The sequence below is a fragment of the Homo sapiens genome, chromosome 15, assembly GCF_000001405.40.
Source record: "Homo sapiens chromosome 15, GRCh38.p14 Primary Assembly".
NCBI classification, from domain to species: Eukaryota; Metazoa; Chordata; class Mammalia; order Primates; family Hominidae; genus Homo; species Homo sapiens.
The window spans coordinates 71,222,056-71,239,537 of NC_000015.10; the positions used below are offsets into that span (position 1 = coordinate 71,222,056).

At 45.1% G+C, this 17,482-nt stretch overlaps 1 protein-coding gene across 3 annotated transcripts in view, besides 1 other annotated feature; it reads left to right on the forward strand.

Moving 5' to 3' along the window:
• THSD4 (thrombospondin type 1 domain containing 4) overlaps window positions 1–17,482 on the forward strand; it is a 686,490-nt gene that overhangs the window by 125,162 nt on the left and 543,846 nt on the right. The window lies entirely within an intron of this gene.
• Window positions 1,374–1,874: an enhancer, noted in NCBI's record as "H3K4me1 hESC enhancer chr15:71515768-71516268 (GRCh37/hg19 assembly coordinates)". NCBI's record gives its function as "activates a minimal SCP1, AML or CMV promoter by ChIP-STARR-seq in primed H9 embryonic stem cells {active_cell/tissue: H9 hESC(primed)}" and the evidence as "EXISTENCE:reporter gene assay evidence [ECO:0000049][PMID:30033119]".

Consider the following 17,482-nt stretch of genomic DNA (forward strand, 5'->3'; position numbering starts at 1 on the left):
CCTGTTGGAAAAAAAGTCCTTTGAAGACCTTCCCTTTTATAACTCTGAAAGCAGGGTGGATTTCTTCCCATTCCCAAAATGTCTGGGGAAAATGGCATCCAGAAAGACTCCCTGTGGCCCAGAACCCAAGTACACAACCTAACAGAAATGTGTTGTAAATGTCTGTTGGTCAGTTTCACCCAGCTTCCACAAAGACAGGGTATGAGAGCAGTGCCCTCTCTTATTTGAGGACTTCAGGTGATTTTTTTCACCACTCTCATGCTAAAGGGCCCGATATCAGGCAAGCTTTCCTTCCCACTGGACTTCCTTACATTTGCCTACATTAGCCAGCTTTTCTGGTCATTCATCACACTCATTAACCAGCTGGAATCTGGGGAATGGGATATTTGATGGCTTTAATTCAGATTTTCAAGTATGAATTTGAGCCAAGCAGTGCCAGGTTGACAACTTTCTTCTCCTGGAGACAGCTGTGGGTGGCTGGGATATGAAAGCCTCAACTATGAAAATCATGACCCTGTTCCCACTGAGGGGAGTGTGTCATATTCCTCAGGTGTTTGGGGGTGAAAGAGGTTGAGGAGGGTGGGCTTCCCAGAACTTCCCAGAGCAGTTTCCTATAGACGTTTTTCTGTGGAGCTGATTTCCTGTTGGGAAGGAGTCTGGTCGGGTGAGGAAAACTCTTGCCCAGGCGTGCAGACCCACACTTCAAGAGCAGTTTGTGGCCAGCTCTCAATGACTGGGGCTTTGAAATACAGTGCTTTATTAGAATCTAGAAGAACAGGAGCTACACACCCTGAAAGGCTGTAAACTACAGGATAGTTATGAGTGCAGCTTCTGGGATTGACAGGTTTGGATGCTCCATCTGACCCTGCCACTTGCTGGCTGTGTATCCTGCCGATGTTACTTAACTTTTCCCTGGTGGGAATAATAATACACCTACCTCACTGAGTTGCTGTGAGTTGGATAACTCACACCACATGCTTAGCACAGTATCTCCTGAGTGCTCAGTAAAGGCGTCTCAATGCCTTCCACCTGCCAGACACACTGGCAGTTGTTTTGACCTGCAGCATTTTATCGTGTCTTCATTACAACCTGTGTGACAGATGCGTGGTGTTCTCATTTATGGATGCCAAACTCAAGGGTCAGGGAGTAAATATCTCCTTCAAGGTCACGCAGAAGGCAAGCAAGAGAGCACAAGCCTGTGCGACATCATGCTCCTTTCAGACCTGCTTTTCTAGAAAGCCCTTTTCAAAGTGAAAGGTAACACTCATTAATTTAGCTAAGTTTGATAAACTAACACCTCTTTGAGATGGAAAATGAAATATTTCTCTAATATTTATCCCAAAGCTTTTAGTGTTACATAGGAATACTGAAACTGGCTCTACTGTGAACTCCAGAAGCCCAGAGGAAACACTACCCGCTGTCATTAGAAGTTGGCCCTGCAAAGTCTTCATTCACATACTTATTTGCTGTTAAGGCTGCCTCTGGATCTCAGGGCTTAATAGACATTGCCTTGTTTAAAGTTTTGTTGTCATTTGAATTCAGCCAATATTCTTTGTGTATTTGCTTTGGGCCAGGCACTGTGCTAAACACAGGAGGGGTAGACAGGTGAAAGAGGCGTGGTTTTCCATGACCTCCATGTCTGATGAGGAAACAGCTCAGGTATGAATACCTAAGGGAGTGTGCTGAGTGTTCTACCTGGGGGATGAGCCGAGGGCTGTGGGAGCAGAGAGGTGGGACTAATTCTTAGGGAACAAGGTCACTTCATGGTGGAGGGTACTTTCTTGAATGATTAGTTTGCATTTTTTAGGTGGAAAAGATGGGAAAGAGCTGGGAAAGGCTTGGTGTGGCTGGGGGATGTGGTGGTTTGCTGACACAAAGTGGAGAAGAAGTACTCCTTATCCTTGAGGGGCTCATGCTGGTGGGGTGGAGCAGGAAGACAAGCAGACATTTACAAGTCAAGTGCCCAGGGAGGAGAGGGGAAGACAACGGAGAACTGGAGGAGCCAGGGAAGGCTTCGGAGGAATAATTGAGCTGTGCTTTGAAAAGGAAAGATTTTAGCAGAGCCCAAGAGTGAGGAGGGCCTTCCTGCAAAGAGCAAATGGTCAGGGTGGAGACCTGGAGGCATGAGTGAGCATGTCATGTTCATAAATGGTTTGGTGAGGCTGGAGCACAGGCTGCAAATGAGGGAGTGTCCAGGCGAGACTGGGGAAGTCCACAGGCTCCTTTCCAGAGAGGAACTTTAAAGCAGTCCTAAGGGGACTGAACAAGAAATTCTTAGAGTAAGACAGTCCCTATAAACATGGATGGCCAACATTTTTTCCGTGAGATGATGTATACAGTGTAAAGCCCATCTAAATTTCTCCTTAATGCCTTGTGCTTTTCAAGCTGTTTGGCTATGCCATCTACCACCCCGTCTCTGTCAATCCAAGAAGCCGGGGTTAACTGGGGACTAAGGCTTGACCCTGTAGTTTTGTTACAGGTGTATTAGTTTCCCATTGATGTTGGAAAACTCACTACACACTTAGTTGCTTAAAAAAAACACACCAGTTTATTTGCTTACAGTTCTGGAAGTCAGAAGGCTGAAGTCAAGCTGCTAGTAGGATTGCACTCCTTCTGGGGGCTTTGAGGAGAAACCGTGCCCTTCCCTTCTCCAGCTTTGAGAGGCTGCCTACTTGCATTGGCTCGTGGCCCCTCCTCCCATCACTCTAATCTCTTGCTTCTGTAATCTCATCTCGTTCTCTGACTCTTATCCTCCTACCTCCCACTTATAAGGAGGACCCTTGTGATTACACTGGACCCACCCAGGTAATCCAGGATAATCTCCCATGTCAAAATCCTTAATTTAATCATCACCACAAAGTCCCATTGCCATATAAGGTAACATTCACAGGTTCTGGGGGTTAGGATGTGGACATCTTTGGAAGGGAGGGGGGACATTATCAGCCTACCATAATAGTACTTGCATTTTGGGGTCTTATGATTACTCAAGCAATAGGACAACTTCTGTGCCAGCAGGACCACCTGCCACTTTCCCCCATCCACTCTGGTTGTTTATGGGAAATTTAGTGATCCTGTTTCCCAGAAAAATGAAGAAGAGGAAAAACCATGCATCCCCACCCTACCCTTAAGCATTCTTCTTTAGAAGTGTTTATGAAGGAGAGTGACAATAATGAAGTTAAAAATAGTAAATGCCCAAGGCAGCCAGTATAGAATAAAGAGCTTTGTATCCCAAGTTCAGAGTTCAGTCCTCAGCTCTTATGAATGCTTTGATCCTGGACAAGTCACCTCATTTCTCTGGGCCTGAGTTTCTACATTCATAAAATAAAGAGGTCCTTATTCTAGTTATTAAGGGGTCTTGCTTTTTATTGATGCATTATTGAGACCAACTGCTGTTTTAAATGTTCCTGTCATCTTTTCTGCCACCCAGAGTAATGAGAAGAGAAGGTGACTAGGAAGCACAGCTCTCAAACACATTTTCTTTTTCTTTTTTTTTTTCTTTTTTTTTTTTTTGAGACGGAGTTTCGCTCTGTTGCCCAGGCGGGAGTGCAGTGGCACAATCTTGGTTCACTGCAACCTCCGCCTCCCGAGTTCAAATGATTCTCCTGCCCCAGCCTATAGCTGGGACTACAGGCACGTGCCACCACACTCAGCAAATGTTTGTTTTTAGTAGAGATGGGGTTTCACCATGTTGGCTAGGCTGGTCTCGAACTCCTGACCTCAAGTGATCTGCTTGTCTTGGCCTCCCAGAGTGCTGGGATTACAGGCGTGAGCTACCGTGCTAGGCCTCAAACACCTTTCCAAACATGCTTCTGGAATGTGCTGGTTTTTCTCTGTAGATGCACTGACATTGTAACTCTTCAATTCCCTCCATTCAGACTTCTGTCTCATGAGTTTTTCTTTAAAGTGTTGTTCACACGTCTGTCCTCCTTTTGCTAGTCTCTTCTTGGACAGCCCCCTTCCATGGAAGGGATCACTATTTCGTGCCTTGTAGAAACCCCTGGGCTGGGAATCATTAGACCCCACTTCCTGTCTCAGCTCCATCATCTGCTAACTGGGTGGCCTATGGGAGTCACTTAATGTAATCTATAAAATATGAATAATTATATGTCCTCTGCCTACCACACAAGCCTGTTGTGAGGGTCAAATGAGGTAACAGCTGTAAAAGTACTTCAAAAAACATAAGACACCATTCAAAAACAACATGGCTTGATTATTTTATTACTATTGACTAGATAATTTTTGGGATTTAGAGACTTGTGTCCCTTTCTATAATTTGTTGTCTGTGTGTCCATGTTCATGTGTGTACAGGAGTACGTGTGTGTGTTTGCATGTGCACACATGGATGTATGTGTGTTTGTTTGAAAGGTTCGTTCATTTTGAAACAGGACAGCCTGGATCAGGCCTGGATCACAAGTTTTACCCACACATTCCCACCTCCCCTGGAAACTGTCCCTGGCTGCAGGTAGGAATCATTTGTTTTTTCAGCTCCTCCTTTCCCATGCTTTGTTGGAGGCTACTTGCATTTCATCGGTAATAACTTTGGAGCAATATGTTGTTTCTTTCCTGGGGGCCCCTAGAGCTGACTGGGCCTCTTCGTGATGCTGGATAGGAAAACTTGCTGTTAATTAAACTTCACAAAGCCACATGCCGATTTCCTGACCTTCAGTCAATACCCAGGGAGTCTTGTTACCTACAGGGGGGCAGAAACCACATAGCAAGAAGTGAAATCTTTGGCCTTATCTGTGTTTCTCCTTGGAAAGCCTCCCTGGCCATCCTGGGTAGTTAGCCGAGAAAACGGATACAAGTGTTTGAAATGCATACTCCTTGTTTTTGGTATTTTTTGTTTTCCTACTTCAAGGGAATTTTTGTGTGTTTTTTTTTACCTTCTGAAGCAGGAATAGCACTTAGTCCCTGAATCGTTTGACAAGAAGTTACCTGTTGATGCTAAGCAGATAAACGGTGTTCCAATATGCTTTGATTTCTAAATCAGAAACCTTAGCCCTTTTCAGTAACAGAGTTTGTAGCAGAGCTAGGCCTGATGGTATGTACATTTCTGCCTGTAGGTTAGGAAGGATTGGAGCCAGATTTTAAGCTTGAGTTACTCTGATCTCAGACAAGGCTCCGAAGAGCCCTTGTTCATTTCTTGCGGTATTTCATTAAGTGTCAGAAGTATTTCATTAGTTATCAGAACAAAGATCACATTCGCCGTAAGAATGCTGCATTGAACTTTCTCCAAGTCATTCATAACTCTGGTTCCAGAAGAAAGATGCGATGGGCTATGGAAAAAGCCTGACTGCAATATGTGTGTCCCAGAAGGGGGATCTCAGTTCTGCATCTGGAATCCGCTAGGGCTTTTCCTCCAGCGCACACCTAGTGCCAGCCTGCGATGCCTTCATATGAGGATGGGAGGAAGGAATTTCCCGCATGTGGGGGTTGCTATCGTTTCCTTTGCTCATCCTACCTGCAGGAGCCTGCACATATTGTTGATTCAGTCATAGTAATCACAGCCATTTTTGCAGGACCTACTATGTGCCACATCATTGACATGTACTATTTGAGCCTCAACCAGCCCCAGTTTACAGAGGACACTGAACTAAGGTAAAGAAGTCCCCAGCATCCTGCTCCAGGAAGGGACGGAATGGGATTTGAGTGCAGGGTTCCCTGACTCTAACATCCTTGCTCTTCTCATTGCCACCCCGAGCCCACAATGTGGACACGGGTAATTTACGTGAGGTTTAGGGGATACCCGCTGTGGTTGACCTGTAATACACATGGCCTGCCTGTTGGTTCTCAGGATAAAGTGCTCACATCCCTCAAGGGTTTTTTAGGTCCTCACTTGCTTGTCAATCCATAAGCCCTTTTCTGGATGTGTAGTCCTTTTGTCTTGTCTCTATTAATAGTAACAAGAGCAATGACAGCTGATGTTTGTCGATGGTTTCCTCTGTAGTAGGTTGAATAATTCCCTGCCCTCTCCCACTCAGTCCTCAAAGATAGCAGGCCCTAGTCCTGGAGGCTGTAAATGCTAACTTATTTGGAAAAAGGGTCTTTTCAGATGTGATTAAGTATCTTGAGATGGGGAGAGTATTCTGGATTATTCAGGTGAGTTCTATGTGCAATTATGAATGTCCTTATAAGAGACAAGCAGAGGGAGATGTAACATGCAGGCACACAACAGGGTGGCTGATGTGAAGATAGAATAGAGAGAGACTTGAAGATGCAGCTCTTGAAGACTGGAGTGATATAGCCACAGCCAAGGCATGCTGGCGGCCGCCAGAAGCTGGAAGAGGCCAGGAAACAGATCCTCCCCCAGAGCCTCTGAAAGGAGCATGGCCCTGCTGCCACCTTGATTTCAGCCTAGTGATGCTGATTTTAAATTTCTGGCCTCCAGAACTGTAAAAGAATAGATTTCTGTTGTTATAAATCACCAAGTTTGTGGTACCCTGTTACAGCAGCTACAGAAACTAATGCACTGTAAGAGGCTCTGAGCTAAACCTCATAGGACCCTTATGCATAAACTATCTTTAGTGTGTCTTGTGTAACATGAGAAGAATTCTGTGCTTACAGCAACAATGTGATGAGCTCTGGGTCCCAGAGCCAGTAGGCTGCAGAGCAGGGATTTAAACCAGAGAACCTGGCTTTAAAGCCCAGCTTGTAACACTGAGTTATGCTCCCTTCCTGCTCCCAACTCCATTCTCGCCCTTATGCCCCAGGTCAGGCCTTGCCCCAGAGCCTTCCTTTCCCCATTTATGGTTTAGCTTCCAAGCACACAATATATTTTATCTTCCCTCATGAATCTTTTTTCATGCAGAAACATTTGGTTCTCTTGTGGGCCACATGGATCCAGCAGCAATTAATTAAAATTGCCCTTTTCCTCAGTGATTGGACCACAGTTCATTGTGGGCTAGTGCTGAAAACGTTTCCTTTCTCAATTTGGGGGGAAACAATAATTTTTCCCATTTTCCAGTAAGTCCTCACTTCAAATAGTCTATCCCTGTAATCCTCTGTGAATGGGAATTTGGTATTTAAAAGCTGTACTGTGTTGCAGTTGTTAAGCTCTTTAGAGGCTTGCCCTTATTCATTCAGTCACATTTGTTAATATCTGTTCACACAGACTTAGTAGCTTGGACAGGTTCTTCAATGTCTTTTAGACTCAGTTTCCTCATCTATAAAATAAAGTAACTTTGATCTTTGCAGTGATGGTTAAATGGGATTACACACATAATTCATTTAGCAGGTATTTGATACAGCATAGCCATCTACATACAGAATGTATTATTTAAATACAGTTGTCCCTTGGTGTGCAGTGGGGATTGATATTGATTCCAGGACTCCCCTGCAGATACCAAAATCTGAGGATGTACAAGTCCCTTTTATAAAATGGTGTAGTATTTGTGTATAACATACACACATCTTCCTATACTTTAAATCATCCCTAAATTATATATGATACTGATACAATGTAAATACTTTGTAAATAGTTGTACTGTATTGTTTAGGGAATAATGACAAGAAAAAAGTCTATGCATGTTCAATATTGAGGCAACCATCCATTTTTTTCACAATATTTTTGATTCGTAGTTGGTTGAATCCACAGATGCAGAACTCATGGATATGGCTGACCGTACACTGTGCTAATTATTTTTATGGATAGGTAAACTCGAGTAGAGATCTCTCCTGGCTTTAATTAACTGAAGGTGACAGACCTGCATCTAAATAACTTCCTCTAATGCAAGGAAGAAAGCTATGCCTCTTCTTATTATCATGATTGATAATTATGCTTGCGATGCTTCATACTTATAATAAAGAAAGAAATAGAAGTGATATAGAGTAAGTGGGTACATAGGCAGTGATATAGAAATTGAGAGTGGGAGAAACATCCAGCATATGAGAGAAATACCATTGCTTCCTCTACGAGCCTTTCACATAAAAGATGCTCAAGAAGTGTAGTTGTGTTATAATCATTATTGCTGTAGTATTAATGTATTCAGCAGAACTTACTGCTGAAAATAGTTCTTCAGGTTCCTTCAACCTGCCGGGGGTCAGCCTCTAGGGCAGAGGGCACTGTTTGACAGTCCCTGGGAGAGAGGGGATAGGATCTCCATTTGCTTAGCACCTGCCCTGGTCAGGCACTGGACCCCACAGGTAAACTCATTTGGTCTCCTCTAACCCCCGTAGTCCTGGAGGGCCACACAGGTTCAGATTACAACCCATACTAACAACAGGCATGACTCCTAAGAGGGCTCCTCTTAGTTACTCTGGAGAAATGAATGCATTTACTGTTCTTTCATGCAAAGCCGCCTCCGTACTCCTCAGTCCCATGTTTGGCTACCTGCCTCTGCAACAGTTCGCACATATCACATTGGAGGCTCTGTGTCTCTTACCTTCAGGGCAGTGCAGCCGTCACGGTAACTACCATTTACAGAGCGTTCACTGAGGGCCAAGCCCTGTGCTAGGCGCTTTCCCTGAATCATTGAGTTTATCTGTGCGACAGCCAGGGGAGGCAGGCATTGTTATCTCCATTTTGCTGCTGGAGACAGGGTGTGGAATGACTTGCCCACAATAACACAGGTAATTAGTGGCTGATCTGGCCTGTCTGATGGAATACCTGGGCTCTCTCTACCATCCTATGTTACCACCTCTGTCCCTGTTGGTCTCTTCTTCTCTTCACCTTCAGAGATATCTTGCCCAGCACAAAATACAGCAAGAAAAATCATCTTTGCTCTGAGCTATCTAATATTCTCTCAGCCTTAGCTGGAAGCATCTCTCTTTTAAACTTCCACTGACTGATTTCTTACCTTTGTGCGAATCCAAAAAGATGCCTCTTCCTCTGGTCAGATTCATCTCCTTGCTGGGAGGACACACTGGATTTCAACTCCCAGGTGTCCTTGTGCAGTGAGTAACCTGCTCAACTGTAGGTGGCATCCTTGCAGCCTCTCCACCATTGATTTCTGTGGCACTCAAATGGGTTCCTTGAACACTCACTCACTTGTCCGTATTCCACTCCTCCGGGCCCACACTGAATAAGGCACCTGAAGGTCAGTTCTGGAAACCCAGATCACTCTGATGCACAGCAGCACCCGTGAGCACTGTGGTTGGCTTGTTCTTAGGGAAACTTGGCTGATTTTCAAACACAATCTTAGAAGAAGAGAAGCCACCTGATGGCAATATCTGGGGCTGTGAGTCTAAATCATCTCCTGGGGTCGTTTCCCCCAGAAGGCCTGAGTCTTTTATTCTTAAGGTTGCTGCTCTGTTTTATTTTGGCAGCTGGGGTTGGGGGACAGCCCCATGGAACTCACATCCTGGGAGGCTGACGGGTGGGTCACTGAGTATAGGGTCTTCTAGAGGCTTGGCTTCCTGGTGCAAAAAAAGCCCTTTAACATCTGAGTGACTCTAAAACCACCTTTCTGCTTCCTCTGCCTAGGTGGCTTGCCTCTTGACTTCTGGAAGAGCTCCTGAATCCATCTGTGAAAAGACCTCTCTCTTTTCACTTTGTTGGAACACATTTGTCATTCCTTCCTGTGGCCATACCCCCCATAAGCCTGTGGGGTCCTTCTTTCCTAAAGGCTCAGAGCAAACCTGTCAGCTGATTCTCATGCTGGCCTTTAAACTCGGGTCTTCAGCACATGGTGGGGAGCAGCAGCAGATCTAGTCAAACCTGCAGCTAACGTATGTGACACTGTGTGCTGCACAGTAGGCGACCAGGGAAGCTTTCGTTTTCATCTTCTTAATTTTTATTTCCCTAAGTGGTCAGAGTTTTGCCTCTTATCTTCTGTAGACACCAGATAATTTATTACCCAGAACAGCCCTGGCAGGAATTTCAGTCTTAGAACTTCTAAGAAGACATCTGCACTCAACCTAAACCATTTGCTCGCAGGCTCTTTGAACTTAGCACATGATATCCTTTCTCCCTTTGGCAGGTGATCCTAGTGGAACAGGGTGGGTTTTAGGAAAACAGGGCTCTCTTTCCAGCTCGAGGCTGCACACTCCCTTCCTCCCAGCTTGCCTTGGCTCAAGCGGCTCCTTGGTGAACACACACGTTTCTGGTCCTCAGCTGCTGCTCCCTCCCATTTTTCCTCCCTTTAATTTGGGCTCTCAGGTCGCTCTAGGTAGCCACTGGCTGCTGATCTAATTTTCCTAGCTCCCTTTAATTCCCACCCAGATGTGTGGGGCTGCCTTGACTTCTTGCATATGGAAACTCCTAGCCTTTCTGTCTCTTATGAATTAATCCAAAGCAGTAGCCTTTATTGACCCATTCGTTACAAATGCTGAGCAACGAGGCTCTGGGCCCACCCATATGTCACTTCAGCATACATTCCCAGGGTGCCTCTGTGTCAGACTCAGAGCTAGTCTCAGGGATCATGCACACACCAATAAGAAACAGGGAGCATAGCCCTGGAGAATGAAACTTACTAATACAGTGTTAATGTGGTAAAGGGGTGTGCAGACTGCCCCCGAGAGTACTAACAGTGGGGAAAGCACATGGGCGCTGGTGTTTATGTTGGGCTGGAAGTACAGAAGTAGGTAGGGTAGGGTTCCAGGAGGGAGTCTTGCCGCACAAGAGCCCCATGTGTTTGGGAAATGGTGAGTCATTAGTGATGGTTGGGAAGGGTTGTGAGCAGGATACAGGGGAAGGGAGACGAAGACCGGAGTTGAATCTGGGAAGATAGACTGAAACCAGATGATGAAGGGTGGAATGTGACATCAAACCAAATATGCCCTAAAACTGTCTTGGTTTGAACTTTATTTTCTAGGCAGAAATGAGCCAGGTGGGTCTTTCAAATAGAGAGTAATGACCAGGGCTGTGCATAGAAAGACAAATCCAGTGGAGAGGGAAGTCAGAAGTGTGTGAGATTCCTTACTTGGGTACCTGACAGATGGGGATGCTCTTAGCCTACTGGGAATGCGCACTGGGGTGTTTGTCATCACTGAAAAGATTGGACTGGACATCATAAAGTCATTGTTCTTCTTCCCACAGGCTATGAGATTCAAGCATATTCAGACTCTAAGAAGCTTCCGCCTCGGTATGAGCTTGATGCTGGTCTGTGCTGATCTAAAATCTTTCTGGGAGTATATGACTTTTCTGTTCTTGATGAGACAGTTCAGAGGAATATTTTGTCCTTGAGCTATTTCTGTCCCTCTGGTCTTTGGGGCTTACAGTGTATTTATAAGTGGGCATTTTATGTCCAAATTGAAATGTCTGCATATTTAGGCGTTAAGATTACTGATTTGGTTTCTCTTTTTGACTCTGCTTACACAGCAGTATGAAAGGGTAAGAAATGACAAATGAGTCTGCTTCAACTGAGCCTCACTGGGTCTACTGCCCAGGGGAAATCATTGCCCAGAGTTTCCTTTTGGTCAATTTGGAAATATATTCTGTATATACTGTGTACATTTTTCATATACTGTATACATTTTTTCTTTAAAAAAAACACACACGCACAAATGAGAGCATGTTTAGTGTCCTCAGCTTAGTATCTTTACTGTTTTATTCTTTTTCACTTAACTATGTTTATGAGAGCTTTCTATATCAGTATATACACAGCTGCCTCATTCTTTTAAACAGCTTCATAGTACTCCAATATCTGAATGCACCATAATTAAACTAGCTCCTTATTTTCCTGTTTAAGGATACTTAGATTGTCTTTCAGATTTACAATTTACAACCACCACTCAGGTATGCAGAACACAATTTATTTTTCTATAACTAGATGTGGTTCATGAGCCTCTGCTTCTATTGCTGAAGGAAAACTTTGCCAATTCCAGGAGACTCAGATGCTCAGACACTTCGTGTTAAGCATGATCAATTCAGGGTTTATGTTCAGCTCAGTTAGGACTCTCTCCTCTCTCTCCTCCCCTCTTCCCAGGAGGTGTGACCTGGATCCCCTGGTGAGGGGCTCCTGTGCAGGCTTGGCAAAGGAAGCAAGCTGTCGGCTGTGCTTCAAGCTGTTGGCCACCTTCCACCCTTGCTGTGGCTGCTGCTGAAATCTCTGCATGTACCCTCCTGGCCTTCTGTCACCAAGGGCCATATACTCTGTGGAACCACAAAGGGGTGATCCACCCACTCTCAGGTGGGCCCCTCCACCTTGATGCCTCCCTCCCACATCCTAGTCAGGTGCTATGTTGGACACTGGCTTCCCCATAAAGCGTGCAAGTCCCTTCTGTTCTCAGGCCCCTAAACACATCTGGGATTTCTACTGTTCCCCAGCCCAGGCCACTGCATTCTGTCCTAATCTCTGAATACTGCCTTTTGGTTCCTCCCTCATCTGCCTGCTAGTCAAACTCTCCACTCGCCCAGGCTGGAGTGCAATGGCACGATCTTGGCTCACTGCAACCTCCACCTCCCGGTTCAAGCAATTCTTGTGCCTCAGCCTCCCAAGTAGCTGGGACCACAGGCATATACCCACCACGCCCAGCTGATTTTTGTATTTTTAGTAGAGATGGGGTTTCACCATGTTGGCCAGGCTGGTCTTGAACTCCTGACCTCAGGTGATCCACTTGCTTTGGCCTCCCAAAGTCCTGGCGAGCCACCACATCCAGCCTGCTAGTCAAACTCTTAATTTCCTTGGGTTCAGAAAGGTCATTCCAAGGTCATAACACTTCTTCATAGTCTGTAGTGTAAGCTCTACCTCTGCCTACTGTTTTCCAGACTTTGGCTCTTGACGGATAAAGCTCAGTTTTTCCAATTTAAAGAAACCTTTTCCCTCCTCATACTGATCTTTGAGTCTTCCCTTCTCTGGCGCTATCATCCTCAGTCTCACTCTAGAAGAACTGTGTGGAAAGAAGGAATGACTGAAGTGCACTGGCCAGTTCCTCAGTTCGCCGTCCTGCTGTGGTTTCAGGTGTCCTGCCAGCTCCCCAGGGCTGCACTGAGGATCCCCACACTCACATCTCTGTGTGCTCTTACAGGCACTTGAGAAGGACTATTCCTCGGTATAATTTCTACCACCTAGTGTTGTTTTAATGTCTATAAAAACCTTTTTAAAAGATACGTGTGGTCATACGAAAGTATTTTGGCAAAAAGCATTTCCCTTGATAGTCATTGTGAATTACATCTCCCTCCTCCCTCTCCTAGCTTAAAGTGCCAATGCTTTGTATCAATGCCAGGAGAAATAGAGGAGTATCTGTCCACATTTCGGAGGCTGGCATTGAGGCAGCCCTCAGATGCAGCATCCTCACATTTGTAACCAGGACCCTGTGATACTTAGTCTCCGGGAAATTTGCCCCAAAACATTGGCTTGGGAGTTTAGCCTTGATATATAGTAACAGTTCAAAGTGCAAATGTGGCATAAAGGCTCTCTTTAAGCCACATGGACATTATTCATTAGACATAGTAAAATCCAGTAGTATCTTAGATTTTCTCCACAGAATCTAGTACGGGGACTTAGATTCCCCACTATTCAGCTTTCTCCAACAATAAATAGGCTTTCATCTCATGAGCTTCCTTCTCATCTTCCCTATGGAAGAATTTATTTCTGTTTCTGTAGCAACTCAACTTAGGTAGCAAGATGCAAGGAATGCCACCTCTCTCTTTTTTTTTTTTTTTTTTTTTTGAGACTGGGTCTTGCTCTGTTGCCCAGGCTGGCGTGCAGTGGCACGATCTCAGCTCACTGCCACCTCCGCCTCCCAGTTCAAGCAATTCTTGTGCCTCAGCCTCTCCCGAGTAGCTGGGACCACAGGTGTGCACCCATCACGCCTGGCCAATTTTTTGTGTTTTTAGTAGAGATGGGGTTTTGCCATGTTGGCCAGGCTGGTCTGGAACTCCTGGCCTTAAGTGATTCTCCCACCTCAGCCTCCGAAAGTGCTGGGATTACGGGTGTGAGCCACCATGCTGGCTGGAATGCCACCGCTCTTAATGCTATAAAACTCAGGACCTTCAAGGTTAAGCAGTGCAAGGAGACTTTCCACGCGGGCAGGGGTGGTCAGCCTCATTGCCTATCTGCCTTCGTGGAGTTCCACTTTACTGTGGGGTTCTCGGGCTCCACTCCTCTGGTTCCTCGAGGGCAGTCCCCGGGGCTGCTGCTCTGTGGGATGCTGTGGCCCGTGTGGGGTTCATGTTAGCACAGCTGAGAGAGGCAGGGCCCCTCAAAGGAACTTGCCTGAGCTCTAAGGGAAAACAAGATGGAAATAAACACGGAGAGCCTAAGAAACACAAAACAGCCTGGCTCCGGAGGGCGGGGCTCTCACTCTGCCCACTCCCCTCTGTCCTGGAAACTGAGAGGAGGTAGGAAGCCCCCCTATAGCTGCAGGCTGCTGACAGCTTTGCCTGGGTGGCTTTCCAGCTCTGACAGCTCTTGAGCTCTTAATTCTTCACTCCTTTTGAAAATAAAGGCTGAGTCTTAGCCCCTGCTGGGTCCCTCTCCATTCTGAGGACCTGTCTCTTCTCTAGGTGTTTGATACCAGAAATGCTCTCACACAATAGATGAGACTTCTGTTCCTACATAGAAGGAGGTGGCTTTGTCCTCAGGGCCATAATAGTTTAACAGTCTTTTAATAAGATATAATAATTCATATAACAGAAATTAAACAGGCACAATAATGATGAGGGGAGATTTTTCTCCCTTTGGCAATAGTGGTTTGAGCCATTCGTTTGTTATTTCAGCTTTTCTAGGGTCAATTAACTGAGCACCTATTATGTGCTAGTCATTGTAGTAGGCTATAGGGATATAAGAAATAAGGCATAGTCCCTGCCCTGAAGGAGCCTGCAGCCTGGTCAACTAAGGCAGGTGTGCAAACAATAAGCATAATAGAAGATTGTGCTGTGACAGCTACATGAGGCCCAGTGGAAGGACAAAAGAGAAGGGCATCAGTTCTTTGAAGGAGAGGGTTGGAGGGCGGTTTGGACCAGGAAAAACTTCATTGACACCAAAATGCTTCCGTTGAATCCTGAAGGGTGACTAGGTCATTATTTTGGGAAACGATGCTGGAGAAAGCAGCTGAGGAGGAGGAAACAGCATAGGTCAAAACATGGAGAATAAAGTCCCTTGGCCTACTGAGGAGGTACAAGTGGTGTGGGTGGTCCATGCAGGGCCAGGGCTGACAAGAGATGCAGCAGGAGCCAGGCTGTGTAGGTTGAGTGGGTAAGCCAAGGAGTTTGGGTGGAATGCAGAGAGAAGGGGTGGGTGGAAGAGCCAGCCGTCTTCAGGGGATGGTGGTACTTGGGAGTAAGACAGAACAGTGGTTCTCACTGTGGCCCACAGACCAAGAGCATCATCATCATCTGAGAACTTGTTAAAAATGCAGATTCTCAGGCCGTGCCCTAGACCAATGGAATCGGAGTTTTTGCAGGTGGGGCTTCACAGTCTTTTGTAACAAGTCTTCTAGGTGAGTCTGATGCTTGTTCAAGTTTAAGGACTACTGAGATAGAGAATATGGGAAGAGCTAGAGGGGCATCAGTTTTGTGGAGGAAAGATGGTCAATCCGGACTTGAGTGTGTTGACTTCGAAGTGACACGTGGAGCTATCAAAGTGCAGTCCCAGGACCCACCACATCAGCTTCATCTGGGAGCTTGTTACAAATGAAGCAGAGGCCTGTGCTAGACCCGCTGAAGCAGAAGCTGGATTTTAGTGAGACCCCCGGGTGACTTATGTGCACTTTTCAGGCTCTAGTCTGGAGGTTAGCTAGGCACATGGGGTTGATGCTCGGGAGAGGGATCTTGGCAGGAAACAGAAAGGCGGGAGTTGTCAGTTCCAGGTGATGATTGCAGATGACACATTTCCAGGGTGAGTGTGTAGGGAGGGAGACTGGATGGAGTGACTTTGCTTGAGTCATGCTGACTGCTTAGCATTATCTTTGTAGAGCTGTGGAAGATCACACATAACCAGCCCTGGATGGCAGCCAGCCTGTTGTAAGGAAAACATGCTGTTTGCAGCCATTATCTCAACAACTATTATAGCAACAGCAATTTTCCCAGACGCCCGTTGGATGAACTGGGCCTGGAACCTGGACTTAGAACCCTTACTGTGCACTGTCATGTTCTTCTCATAGAGCCCTACTTTATGGTGGTGTGGGGGCGGGGTGGGGGTGTTCCATGTACTTACGTTGTCAGGGCTGGAAATGTGAACAAGTGGAAAAAAAAATCACACATGATGCTCAATAGGCACTCATAGAAGTTGCTCAATAAAGGTTTGTTAAATATTGTTGAAACAAATCATTAAAAATTGCTTTCAGATTTAAAAAATGCATTTCTATCAGTAAGTTCAATTTGACTTTACAACATCCTTGTAAGTAAACATGCTTTCTTAAAAAAAACTTTATTGAGATATAACTTACATACCGTAAAAATCACCATTTAAAAATACTATGTAACTCAATAGTTTTTGGTATATTTACAAGGTTGTGTGACTATCACGACTATCTAATTGCAGAACAGTTCCATCATCCTAAAAAGACACTCCATCCCTTTAGCAGTCACTCTCTTTTCCCCTCTCTCCCCAATCCCTGGAAACCACTCTCTGTCTCTATGGATTTGCCTATTCTAGACATTCTATAGAAATGGAATCATATGTGTCTGGCTTCTTTCACTTCTTTCACTTAGAATATTTTGTAGGTTTATCTATGTTACAGTATATATCAGCACTTATGGCTGAATAATAATCCACTCTGTGGGTATACCAATGTTTTATTTCTCTCTACATCAGTTGATAGGCATTTGGGTTGTTTCTGCATTTTTGGCTATTATGAATAATGTAGCTATGAACATTCATGTATAAGTTTATATACAAATGTATGTTTTCATTTCTCTTGGGCATATACCTAGGACTGCAATTGCTAGGTCTTGTGGTAACACTACATTTAGTCTTTTGAGGAGCTCCGAGATAGTTTTCCAAAGTGACTACACCATTTTACCTACCCACTAGGAATGTATGAGGTTACCAATTTATCTTTCCCAACACACTATTATCTGTCTTTTTTGAGTATAGCCATCCTAGTGAACATGAAATGGTCATGCTCTCATTTTACAGCTAAGAAAACTGAAGGTGCATTATTTGCCAAAGTTGGTAGAGCTATTAAATAGCCAAACTAGAGCTTTTCTTACATAAAGGCAAATACTTGTATGATGCATACTCTGTGTGAAGCATTAGGTCATTTGCTCTTAAGTCATTTAATCTTTGTAACTATCTATAACAAAGGTACTATTATTGTGTTTATTTGTAAATGAATACAAGGCCAGAACTGGGCTTGGAGTGCAGCTAGGGAGGTTCTTAGGGTGCAACATTTAAGAAGACATTACTCTCAGGTTCCTACCAGCACTTCCACGACCCTGACTGTTATCTCCTTAAATATTGCATCCTAGTTGCTTCACTGGCCTCATCTTAATCCTGGTCCTGTTTGAAGAAACTGAGGCATACAAAGATTGGGTAACTTACCCAAAGTTTCCAAACTAGCAAGTAGCAGAGCTGGGATTCAAACCCCAGAAAGCTGGCCTCAGGGTCCATGTCGTGAACCACTAGCCTACACTGACTCCCACATCTCTGATCTGCAA